Source organism: Homo sapiens, chromosome 13 (assembly GCF_000001405.40).
Source record: "Homo sapiens chromosome 13, GRCh38.p14 Primary Assembly".
In the NCBI taxonomy this organism is placed as follows: domain Eukaryota; kingdom Metazoa; phylum Chordata; class Mammalia; order Primates; family Hominidae; genus Homo; species Homo sapiens.
In genome coordinates this window covers 99,949,882-99,961,829 of record NC_000013.11, presented here as the reverse complement: position 1 = coordinate 99,961,829, position 11,948 = coordinate 99,949,882, and the positions used below count along the sequence as shown (strand labels likewise).

The 11,948-nt window shown below is 51.4% G+C and overlaps 1 long non-coding RNA gene across 1 annotated transcript in view, besides 2 other annotated features; it reads left to right on the top strand.

Annotated features, from left to right (window-relative positions):
• Positions 3,635-4,609: an enhancer, noted in NCBI's record as "OCT4-NANOG-H3K4me1 hESC enhancer chr13:100609475-100610449 (GRCh37/hg19 assembly coordinates)". NCBI's record gives its function as "activates a minimal SCP1, AML or CMV promoter by ChIP-STARR-seq in naive H9 embryonic stem cells {active_cell/tissue: H9 hESC(naive)}" and the evidence as "EXISTENCE:reporter gene assay evidence [ECO:0000049][PMID:30033119]".
• Positions 4,610-5,585: an enhancer, noted in NCBI's record as "H3K4me1 hESC enhancer chr13:100608499-100609474 (GRCh37/hg19 assembly coordinates)". NCBI's record gives its function as "activates a minimal SCP1, AML or CMV promoter by ChIP-STARR-seq in naive H9 embryonic stem cells {active_cell/tissue: H9 hESC(naive)}" and the evidence as "EXISTENCE:reporter gene assay evidence [ECO:0000049][PMID:30033119]".
• CLYBL-AS3 (CLYBL antisense RNA 3) overlaps positions 4,665-11,948 on the top strand; it is a 216,296-nt gene continuing 209,012 nt past the window's right edge. Inside the window, exon 1 of the long non-coding RNA NR_120421.1 lies at positions 4,665-4,747. This is a non-coding gene — a long non-coding RNA (CLYBL antisense RNA 3). The remainder of the gene's footprint in view (positions 4,748-11,948) is intronic.

Below are 11,948 nucleotides of genomic sequence, written 5' to 3'. Positions count from 1 at the left end.
GCAATTGGCAAGCAAGACGTTCCCATCTGAATATGTCTCAAAGAAAGCCACTTATTGACACTAAGTTGGCTATCATCAAAGACTTCATCTTCCCTAGGCAAAACGTGGCCCTTGCAAATACTGTTTAAATCATCTACCTTTGTTTTGCAGGCTAGGAGAATCTTCAAACACACAATTATTTGAAATTTATGTATATATATTTTCCCCATTCAGGATGCTCTTGGTAAAGCTAATGGTCCTAAAATCTAAACTCCATAGAGTTTGAGGGTGGGAATTATATTCTCTTAAGGAGTTGGAGATGGCCACACAAGCATCATAACACTGGGGACAGGAAAAGAGGAGGCCCAACTATCTGCAAACATGTTACACTCTCATAAGTGATCTCTTCCACTTTGGGGAAGGTTTTGGAGACCATTGTGGTTTTACCCACCCAGTAATCTATCATCTGTCATCTCTCTGTCTGTCTATGAAATGGGACAAGAGGTGCTGGCCACTAGTATTTTTAAATCCCAGTTGGGTTAGGAAATCCAGCTCCTGGGGAGGGGGCAGGGGAGACATCTGGTTTCTCAAGTGATCACCTTAAGCCAGCAGAAAAGAAGGCTGATCACAAGGCAAACAAAACAACCCAGCCGCTTATTATTAATGGCACTTTCATCCCCTCACATCACTCCTGGCCTGCCAGTCCACCCACAGTGTAGCAAAACAGGATGCCCAGCCACGGAAGCCTTCCAGGTCTGGAGGCACAGGCAGGCCGGCAGGGGACCCTAGGTGAAACTGCCCTGGGGACCCCAGTACACTTCCCCTCTGTAGACAAAAACTCAGCCCTACACCCACGCACTCCCCGAGCACACATTAACATACACTGCAAGTGCCTAATCAGGCAGGGAGAAGTTCAAAGCCATGTTTTTTTTCTTTTGGAAATTCAAACTACTGCTTCTATGGTCCATCCACGCGGAGCGTCAGGATCGCTGTGGCAGTGGGCAGGGCCAGGGGAGTCGCCGGCAGAGGGGCCACTGTGATTCGAGACAGTCGATGAGACACAGCTGCAGTGACCTTTTTACTTTCATGCCAAGTTACTTCAGTCCACTTGCACCTCATCAGAAATTTTATATATATATACACATATATACACATATATATACACATATATATACATATATACACATATACATATATATACACATATATACATATATATACATATATACACATATATACATATATATACATATATACACACATATATACATATATATATACACATATATACATATATATATATATTCAGCGTTTAAGATTCTTCCATAGAACCTCCTAGCTTGAGAGAAAGGGGAGAGAAAGAATGAAGAAAGGAGGATAGGAGCGGAGGAGAGTCGGGGTGGGGAGTGGGTGATGTTCGAAGGGTGGGGGAGAGGGGCAGGGGCGCCAGAGCCCCAGCTCCTCTTCCTTCCCTCCCCACCTAAGTACTTTTATTTGCAGAGCGATTGTTCTTTGTTTATTTAATACAAGTACTGTGTGAATGGTGAAAAATAAACACGATGAAAAATAACCAAACAGATGATTCCTCCGAGTGAAAAAGCCCGGACTTAATAAAAGTGCGAAGCAGTCACCGCTGAATGAGAAACCCTTTGAAGTGGAACTTATTATAGGAGGAATACTTTGGGGTTGCCTTAACGACGCCGCTGAATCGAAAGCGCTCGCCTTTGTCAGCGATTTGTTCTCCTTTGCTGGGGTGCCCAGAGAAATTACTTACATGGGCTGCCTTAACATGCAGCCTGCAAATCAGTAACTTTGCAGCTCAGACTCGCAGACGCCACTCGGCTGCGGACAAAAAGAGTCAGGGGGGAAACGCACCAACCTTTCACGCCGAGGCTCTGGGGCTGGGGGCGCACGGGCGTGTTGGGGTCGGCAGATAAGAAGTTGTATTACAACGCCCCCCCTCGTCCAGGCTTCCCTCTTCTTCCCTCTGCACCCCCTCGCCAGTCCGGGCTGGGGCTCTGCGGGCCCGGACTCCGCTCGGTGGCAGCGGAGGCCCGGCTCCTCCAGGGCCCACCGGCGAGGGGCGCTCTAGGGCGCGCGGCCGGGCGCGGGACTTTCCCAGCAGCTCGGGCCATATTTAATAAGGGTCGTTCATCACCGAGGCGCTTTGAAGGGTCGCCTCCAGCCCTGTGCCCATTAGAAAGGCGGAGGTGACATTTAAACTCCGTTTTCAAGGATCGCGGGGGGATTTCATTGAAAAGGCAACTCGTTTGTCTTATGAGCCTGGAAACAACCCCCTTCTCGCTCCTTTTGACCACATGGCATAACTCAAAAACAATAGTTCAAAAGTGAAATGGCATCGTGGTGTTCATTCGGAGACAGGCCCCCATCTAGCACCAGAGAAAAGGGGTAGTCCGCAAGACAATGTGCTTTTTGTGTCCGACTCTGTCACAAGGATTGTGTTGTTTGCTTTGGAGGCTGCGCCTGTTATACTTTCCTGAAAGTGCTTGTGTTAAACAAGAGTTATAAGTCATCCAAAACAACAAACATTTTGATTTTCTTTGCCTAAAGGGCTTTCCCTGGCTATGGGCACCGTGAAAAAATAATGTCCTTGCTGAGAAAGGAACACCAGTAGTAGCATTACAAGCGGGCGCATTAAATATTGAATGACACGGGAAAAAGAGCTTGTCGAGGGGCACTCAGCCTTAAAGTCTTTCTTCAACTTTGTCTTCGGTGGCTGCTGGACTATTTAAGATGGTATTAATTAAGGCAGCTTCGGATGCTGCCCAGCCGGCCGGCCCCTCGGCCGCGCTCGGTCAATGGGCCTGTGCCCCCGCGCTCTGCTCACGCGTTGGCTGAGCCGAGTGCAAATGTCACTTCTCATTTGGAGGCTGAAGAGAAGTGCCCATCCTACATTAAGGGCAGCAGGGATGCAGTCAGCAGCAGGCGTTAAAGGAATACGAGGGACTGCGGTGAGGGGAGGGAAGGCGGGAACAAAATGGGAACAGCTGCCCGGGGCGGGGTCGAGAGAGTGCCCCAAGCACAGCTTTTGGCACATTTTGGAGAGCGCCGCTGGCAAACCGGGGCCAAGCGGGACTCGCTGGGTTGGAAGACCCCCTCTCTTTCGTCGTTCCTGCGTGGGGAAAATGAAAACTCTAGCTCTGCACAAATCCATTAGGCAGGCTGGCGGGGCGTTATTTTACAAAGGGACTCGCTTCTACAAAGAAAGACAAAAGCTTGGTGCAAACAGGCGTCTTGACTGACTTCCACCTCTCCCTACGGTCCCCTTCACAGATCACAAACAAATAAAGCCCAAAGGACCTCAGCCAAGGATCTCCAGATCCAATTTTACAGATGGCGAAACTGAGACCTCAAGCAAGACTCAAATTGATTTTTGTCAATATTCCCCGAAGTCAGAGGTTGAGACCCTCTTTGAGACCAAAGATCCAGGCGGGAGTGGAGTTCTCTTTAAAGTCGCCAACAACCACGCCAAAATGTCCCTTTCCCCTGCCCCCCATTGCAAGTGTTTGATTCAAAGTCAAATGGAAATTGGTTTCAGCAGTTGAAAATTCCTAACATAAAAAAAGGAATGAAGCTTACTGCCAACTGACTGTGGCATAAATGAAATGCATGCTCTGAGAAACTCTGTTAACTATCAGTTCTTGATGAAGAGAGACAAGATTTGGCTGGGCAGAGGGGGCAGGGCATCCCGGCAGATTGATTTCTGCAGCCAGAAGCCCAACAGGCGCCCCCGTCTCCCTATGTGGCGTTTCACCTGGATGTGGGCCTTCTCTTTTACCACACGACCCCTTGTAGGTGGGGGGAGATGCAGTAAAATGCCCTCCCCACCCCCACCCCCGTGTGTGTGTGTGTGTGTGTGTGTGTGTGTGTGTGTGTGTGTGTGGTTAGCACCCTTAGCTTTTGATCCATTTGCAATGTCTGATTCTCCATCTTAAAATGTGTCCATTCAGGGCTCCCTCTGGCCTTTTGGATAAGGGGCGGGTCATGTTTCCACCAAGAGCCATGTTGCAGGAGAACTAGTCCCTACCCTTCCTGCAGAGACTGGAATCTGAGCGCAATGGGTGGCCGGAGAGCTCGCATTCAGACAGCCCTGAGATGCGGGCCTGGGGCCCTACGCCCCATTGGCAGCTGGAGGCGTCGCTCTGGGGCCAAGGAACGCCTGGCCGGGTCAGGACGCGGGCAGAGGTGGGCGGTGGGGCAGCGAGAGAGGGCCGCGCCAGAGCAGCCCACTCCCGCACAGCCTAGGACTGGAGTTCCCAGGCCCAACCGCCTACCTGAGTGATCTGTTTTGCACATCTTTCCTCATTCCTCTTCTCTGCTGTCCCTACCTCCTCTACTTTTTTGCATGAACAGGGCCCAGGCCAGGATAACGGATGCAGAAAGATGGCCTTTTGGCCCGGAACGCACTCTCTCTCGTACGCATACACCCACCTCCCTACCACCCCCCCCACACACACGCTCACGCGCAATTCAACCCCCCCAGCCCAGCCCCAGCCAGTGCACTGGGCACACGCTCGGGATCCAGGCACCTTGCCAAGAGCTCGCGAGCACCCTGCGTGGCACACTGGTTGGAGTTCCTGCACGAAGTGGCGGGGGTGGAGTGAGGAGGGAGGGGTGGGCGGCGGTGCACGCCGCCGACTGCTGGCGGTGAGCACAAGTTCAGTGCTCAACTTCCCGCTCTTAACGAGACCCGGGATCCCTTTGGAGAGGCCCTCGGGAGCTGGCGACAGGGCTGGGAGTGGCGTGGGTAAGCTGGCCGGCGCGGGGCGCGGGCGGCGGGGCACAAGGGCGCTACAAGAAGAGGGCGCGAGGGTGCCCGCGGCCAGCCGGGCGCTCCGAGAAGTCAGCGCGAGCAGCTGTGACTTCACCTATTAGCCCCGATGTCTTTCCGAGGAGCCTGGTGGAGTTAAACAGCCCACAATGGGCGCTCTGGGGCGCCTCCAGCCTGACCTCCACCCGGGTTTAATAGTTTCATAGGAACTTCATTAAATCAATTACTTAGTGAGCACATCATCATTTATTTGTAATTAGCAGCGAGGAGCGCGTTCTCTCCCCCAGCCCGCGGCCCGGGTCCCAGCGGGGTTGACTAGTTGTGCAAGCACTTTTGTTTGCTCGAGTGTTGACTCCCGGCATTATTCGGCCCGGGTAATCTTTACGTCTCAATCTAGTATTCAGGGGGCGAAAGGAAAACAAACAGGGCGCAGGCCGGAGGCCAGCCCTTTGGTCCCAGCCGTCCCAGAACTCGGCCCTCGCTGGGCGTGCAGGGCGCACCTCTGCGGCCCCGGCTCCTCCCGGGAGGAATAGGCGAGAGCGCCACCGGGGCAGAGGGGCAGGAGCCAGCCCGGAGGGTCCAGAAGGAAAGTGGCGAAGGAAGAGGCGATGAAGGAGAGAAAGGAGAAAACCAGCAGCAGGAGCTCTGGGCCTGCAAAACGAGCACAAAAGGGGAACGTCCAGGCTCGCGCACGTGTGCGGGCGGCATTGGAGGGGGAATGCGCGTTGTGCGTGTGTGCAAGTGTATGTCCATGTGTGCATGTGTGTGTGCGCGCGCAGGAAGTGCGTGAAATCACATCCATTTCAGCTGCCCACGGCTGGGCGGAGAGGGGAGTGGGAGCAGGAGGTGCCGGCCTGGCGTGCGCGGAGGCAGCTCTCTGGGTGTCCGAGCTGCAAAAGTGCTTTAATTGGGGGGCTGCAGCCCCGGGCGCAGCTCCACTGCGGCCCACAAATTACGAGCGAGTGGTTAGCGAGGAGCGGGGAGTTGCTGAAAGCCGGGCCAGAACCTGCGCGTGCGGAGCGGCACGAGTAATGGCTCCGCAAGGAGTCGTGATTCCTTTCGAGTGTAATCATCTTTCCCCACACGCCGCAGCGCCGGCCAAATCTCGTTTACATCCAAGGAGTTGCGGCTAGCCGGGCCAGAAACGTGGGCGACACGCCCCTGCGTCCTTGCCCCGGCCCCGATTTCCGCTCCAAGCTGGAAGTCCTTCCAGCATAGGAAACGCTCAACTTCTGGGGCTATCCCAGCTCAGGAAATGGAGGAGGGCGGGGAGGCGAGGGGTCATTGATGAGCCGGCCTGGGTTCCCCCAGGAGCAGGAGAGTGTGAACAACTGTGAGGCGAGGAAAGGCCGTGGGGAAAAACGCTCCTCCAGAGGGCTTCCAGAAGAAACAGTGGCTCCTGGGGATCCTTGAGGTCAGTCTCTTAGACTCCCTGGGGCTGTGAGCTTCTGAGGACCGGGTCCTGAGTTTCTACCTTGGTTCTGGCGGCCAGGCCTGGCTGATCGGGGTCAATACTTGCAGGTAGGGAATGTGCGAAGGCGGTGGTTGCCTTGTGGATTTTCTAACCAGTGGTTTCAGTACAGATCGAATCAGTGTCTGGAGTGTTTGTTCTCTGGTGGGACTGAAGAGGGTTCTGTGGCCCTGTGGTGAGACAGGGTCCGTCCTGGAGCGGGGGTGGGGAGGCAGAGGGCTGGGGTGTGGCCCCCAGGCCTCTCTGGACAGCCCCAGACCTGGAGGCCGCTGGCTATGGCTGTGTCTGGGCGTACACCTGCGCGAGGGCGGTTGTACTCCCGGGAGTGGGAGCTTAGCTTGCTGGGGAGCCTGTCGCGAGCTCTCCTGAGGCCCCCAGTCTGGGGAGCCAACGCCGCCACAGTGCTCTGGGCTCTCAGGAGGGTGTCCTAAGCCTGCAGCTGTCTCACTCCCCCAGTCTTCTTGCTTCCACCTTTCCTCAGGTCTCACCATCAGACACCCATTCTGTTCCTCTCCCTAGCCTCCTTTTCTCAAAGTTGACTCCCGGGTCATTTGGCCTCTACCCCAGGGTCCTAGGTATCCTTTGCTTGCAGGACACAAGGATGAGAGAGGCAGGAGCAGCTAGGATCCTGTTTGAAAATAGGCTTTCTTGGCCTCGCGCGGTGGCTCACGCCTGTAATCCCAGCCCTTTGGGAAGCTGAGGCGGGAGGATCGCTTGAGGTCAGCACCAGCTTGGGCAACATGGTGAAACCCCATCTGTACAAACTATACAAAAATTAGCTGGGCCTGGTGGTGTGCGCCTGTCATTCCAGCTACTTGGGAGGCTGAGGCAGAAGAATCGTTTGAGCTAGGGAGGCGGAGGTTGCAGTGAGCGGAGATGGTGCCACTGCACTCCAGCCTGGGCGATAGGGCAAGACTCAGCCTAAAAAAAAAAAAGGTTTCCCTTCAGCCCCCGTCCCCAGCATGACAGAGCTCCCTGAGCTGCCCAGCTGCTGCTCACCCCGCCATGGTCTGAGAGTCTGGGTCAGCCTGAAAAACAGGAAATTGATCCGGATAAGGACCATCAACCAGCCGGTCAACAATCTGGGAGAAGCACCTTTTAAAATATAAAAAGTGGTTTGTAACTTTGCATACTCCTGTTCCCCCATCCCCAGTGAGTCTGTGCTGAAGAAGTTACAATGGTCAGGCTTCAGGAAGAATTACCAGGAAAAGGAAATCTTAAAGCATAAAGCCAAGTATGATTTTCTTAAAAATACCTGGGAGCCTAACATGATAAACACAAATACTCCTTTGAGTCTGTTGTGCACATTTCTGCTCCAGTGTACAGAATACTTGTGCATGTTAAATATATATTGATCAGACAGGTGCACACACACACACACACACACACACACACACACACAATTATAGCATGTCTAAATCCCACCTTGGAAATTATCAGACCTAGCCAAATTTAGGACAGTGTTGAAGGAAGCAAGACTGAGAAAAGCTACAATGAAAATAAAATTGAAATATTCACCCATGACTTGTCTCTCTACTCCTCCCCTCTCTCCCAGCTCCTACACCATTTAATAAAATAGCATCGTTTAGAGAAAGGAAGGCACGTCAGGAGACATTTTATGAGCTGGCAGAGAATTTGTTGAAGTGGTTGATTTAGAAAATCTGGATACTGACTGCGAAGTTTTCTTAGTGATATTCATATTATGCCTCTTTCTTCCCAATCCAAGTCCTAATAGCTTTTAAGTCATATCTGACTAGGTTCTGTTTATTAATCAGGCTCTGTTCTGATTCTGCCTTTATTGGGGTGCAGGCTCCTTGGCAGTCCCACCTGAGGTCCTCCTTGGATCAGTGGGAGCCCCGTGCTGTGTTCCTTGTGCCCTTTCAGGAGAACTCCCCATGCAGGGCGTATGGGACCCTTCCAGGGTCCTTGCCACTGGACTCATCAGTCTGAAAACTAACAGGATCATGCCCACAGACTGTCCTCCTCTCTCTGGGAGGGCTTGTCTTGTCACCAGTCATGAGTTTCATCCTCCTGACCTGGCGCAAAGAAGAACGTTTGGCACTGACATAAAAACCCATGCAGCGGGAGCCTGGAGTTTGTAGCAGGCTGATTTCGGATAATGACATGTATGGGACATTTCAGGGAGGGCCCAGGGGAGCCTTGGAATGGGAGGAACTATGCCAATGTTTGTCCCCTTTAAGGGGCGAGGGCAAAGGTTTGACTGCTCTGGTCGTTTCTTAAGTAAACTGACCCGAAAGAGCACGCATTAGAACAAACTGTGGCCTAGGGCAAGAGTCTGTTGTGTTCCTGACAGAAACTTCTGGGTGAGTCCTGGCCGCTGCTGGGCCACCGCTCTGTGTTCTCACAACCGGCAGCACAGCTGGTTCCCTGTTCATACCCGTGAGGGACAGAATCATGAGGTGATTCCAGGAGTCTCTTCTCAGGGAGAAAGAACACCTAGAGACACAGAGGCAAGTCCAGGAGAACCACTGCCCGTTAGCCAGTGCCACCCCTCCTTGGCCACTCCTCCTGCTATTTCCAGCCTTCAACGCCCAGATCCTTTATATCCACTCTGTAAAGCAGAGGGCTGGAGTGGTCCAGAGACAGGAATGTGTCTTCCAATAACATTAGTGTCTTTGGCCCCTGGCAAGATTGGAGTATTTATTTTTCTCCGACTCCTCCAATTGGAGTGATGCCAGTTAAGAAGGAAGCAGAAGCTGGGTGTGGTGGCTCATGCCTGTAATCCCAGCACTTTGGGAGGCCAAGGCCAGCAGATCGCTTTTTGTCAGGATTTCAAGACCAGCCTGGGCAACATGGCGAAACTGCCTCTCTGCTAAAAATACAAAAATTAGCTGGGTGTGGTGGTGCAAGCCTGTAGTCCCAGCTACTTGGGAGGCTGAGGCACGAGAATCATTTGAACTCAAGAAGCAGAGACTGCCGTGAGCCAAGATTGTGCCACTGCCCTCCAGCCTGGGTGACAGAACTAGATTTGATTTCAAAAAAAAAAGAAGCAGAGAAATTGCATAATGAAAAGTATAATATCCTGCTTGGCCCTTAAGTTTCTTTTGAGATTGGAATGAAGTTTTTAATAGGAAGGTTTCCTTGGCCCCATGACTGTCTGTGGAACGGCAGACACAAAACCTCTTAGGCTCAGCTGAGTAACAGCCTCCCTGGGAGCTGGGTGCTCTGAGGCCCTAGAAACAGAGCTGTGGGCCCTATTTTGGGGCACAGTAGAAGAGGACACAGGAAGTTGTAGAGAAGCCTAATATCCATTGCTCGCATGTTTTCCCCATCATTTAAAAAAAAACTGTGGTAAGGCCAGGCATGGTGGCTTACACCTGTAATCCCAGCACATTCGGAGGCCGAGGCAGGCAGATCAGATCACTTGAAGCCAGGAGTTTGAGACCAGCTTGGCCAACACGGTGAAAACCAGTCTCTACTAAAAATACAAAAAATTAGCTGGGTGTGGTGGTCTGCGCCTGTAGTCCCAGCTACTCGGGAGGCTGAGGCACAAGAATCGCTTGAACCCAGGAGGTGCAGGTTGCAGTGAGCTGAGATTGTGCCACTGCATTCCAGCCTGGACAACAGAGTGAGACTCTGTCTCAAAAAAGAAAAAAAATGTGGTAAAATGTATGTAACATAAAATTTACCATTTCAATCATTTTTAAGAGATGGGGTCTCACTGTGTTGCCCAGGCTGGCCTCCAACTCCTGGGCTCAAGTGATCCTCCTGCCTCAGCCTCCTGAGTAGCTGGGACTGCAGGTGTGAGCCACCACACCTGGCTTCAACTATTTTTAAGCATACAATTCAGTGGTATCGAGTACATTCCCATTCCCATGCAGTCATCACACCATTCATCTCTAGAATGTTTCAGTCTTCCCAAACTGAATCTTTGTATATGAAACAATAGTTCCTCATTTCTTCTCCCCTAGCTTCTGGCAATCTGCATTCAACTTTTTGTGTCTCTGAGTGTGACGACTCTAGGGATCTCATCTAAGTGGGATCATTCAGTACTTGTCCTTCTGTGCCTGGCTTATTTCACTCAGCGTAATGTCCTCAAGGTTCATCCCTGCTGTAGCATGCATTAGAACTTCATTCTTCGTTATGGCTGAGTAGTAGTCCACTGTGTGGATAGACCACATTTTGTAGATTCCTCCTGTTGTTGATGGACACAGGTTGTTTCCACCTTTTGGCTACTGTGAGTAGTGGTGCTGTGAACACTGGTGTGCTTACATGCTTTTATATGTACATGTGTACCTATATAATATACTTTTTATGAACCAATTTAAAACACTTTAAAGGGGAGCTCCAGCCATGGATTTAGACTATCAGCTTTCTCACTTGGCTGTGGCTTTCCGAGGTCAGCAAAGTGCAGCTAGAATTCAAGGGAGAGCCAAACCATTGTCTTCCAGTTTCATGGCCGTCCCATCTTTGTGTGTGTGTGTGTGTGTGTGTGTGTGTGTGTGTGTGTGTGTGTGTTCAGACCTACCCAGTGCTCCTGCTTCAGAGGAACTATTAACACATTGATATTATCAATAGCAGGCCGTGCCTGAGCCATTAGGGATTTATGAAAACATCTGAAACAAGTCGTTTCAAAGCACTGATTTGTTTTATAGTCAGTATTACATTTTATGACAGGCTCTTTTGCCAGCAAAATGAGCGCATAAGCATCATACACAGCTCAGGAGACGGAAACCGGTGCCCTGGGCTGCCCTGCAAATCTGTGCTCCGGATCCCTTGGGAAGCTTCTGCAATTCACGGACAACTACTGACCCTTTGCTGAAGGGTTGACCCCGAACTAGATAGGGTGTATGCCCACCCTTACATTTGTGGCAGTAGAAAAGCGACATCCACCCCCTTTCCCTTTTCTGTCATTTTTCTCAAACCGAGAACACAGTAAGAACACCAGTCAGTACCCAGCAGACCAAGGTCAAACATTTCCTGGCCACTTCTGCTGCTTTTTTTGTTCTGATTTTTTTTCTTTTTCCCTGATTTTCTGGAGTTTCATGGGGGCAAATTCCCGAGTTTTGGATAAAGTAGTCTCAACCCTCCTGGGAACGGTGGCGCCTAAGCAAAGGGACAGACAGGCCACTTGGGGAAGGTGGATGTATGATTCCCAGCAACCCAGTGACTGTCCTTCTCATTCAAACATCCCCCCACCCCCCAACCATAAGAGCAGGGAGAGGGACCACAGTGCTGTACAGGGTTTGTCGGGTCCGGGATTGGGCGGGGAGGCAGGCGCTCTTCCCTGGGATGGGAGATAGTTCCTTCTCAGTGTTCCCAGGGAGCAGGGTTTGTCATATTTTACAGCAGCTGTTTCACATTCCCCTACCTAGTTATTAGACACGAAAGGGAGTAAATTAAAATAGCAAAGTAAAAGGAAATAAAAGGCGTCTTTTCTTTCTGTAAAGAGACAACACCTAATTAAGAAATATTTGAATCCCACAAAAATGCAGACTCTCACGGGTGACATAAAACTTCTCCTTTTAAACCAGGAACAAACCCCAGAAAATTAGGGACAGGCCCAAGAGGTAGTCCTTTAAAACAAAATGCTCCTGCCTCTGGAGACTTTTGACTTTTTTTTCCCTTCCTTTTTTCCTCTTCTACAGTCCTGGGGGAGTATTAAACTCAAACGACTCCTTTGAGTTCAAGTTATCTGGGCTGTAGCCAGCCAAGCATACAGCCAGCCTCCTCCCCTCCTGCCAC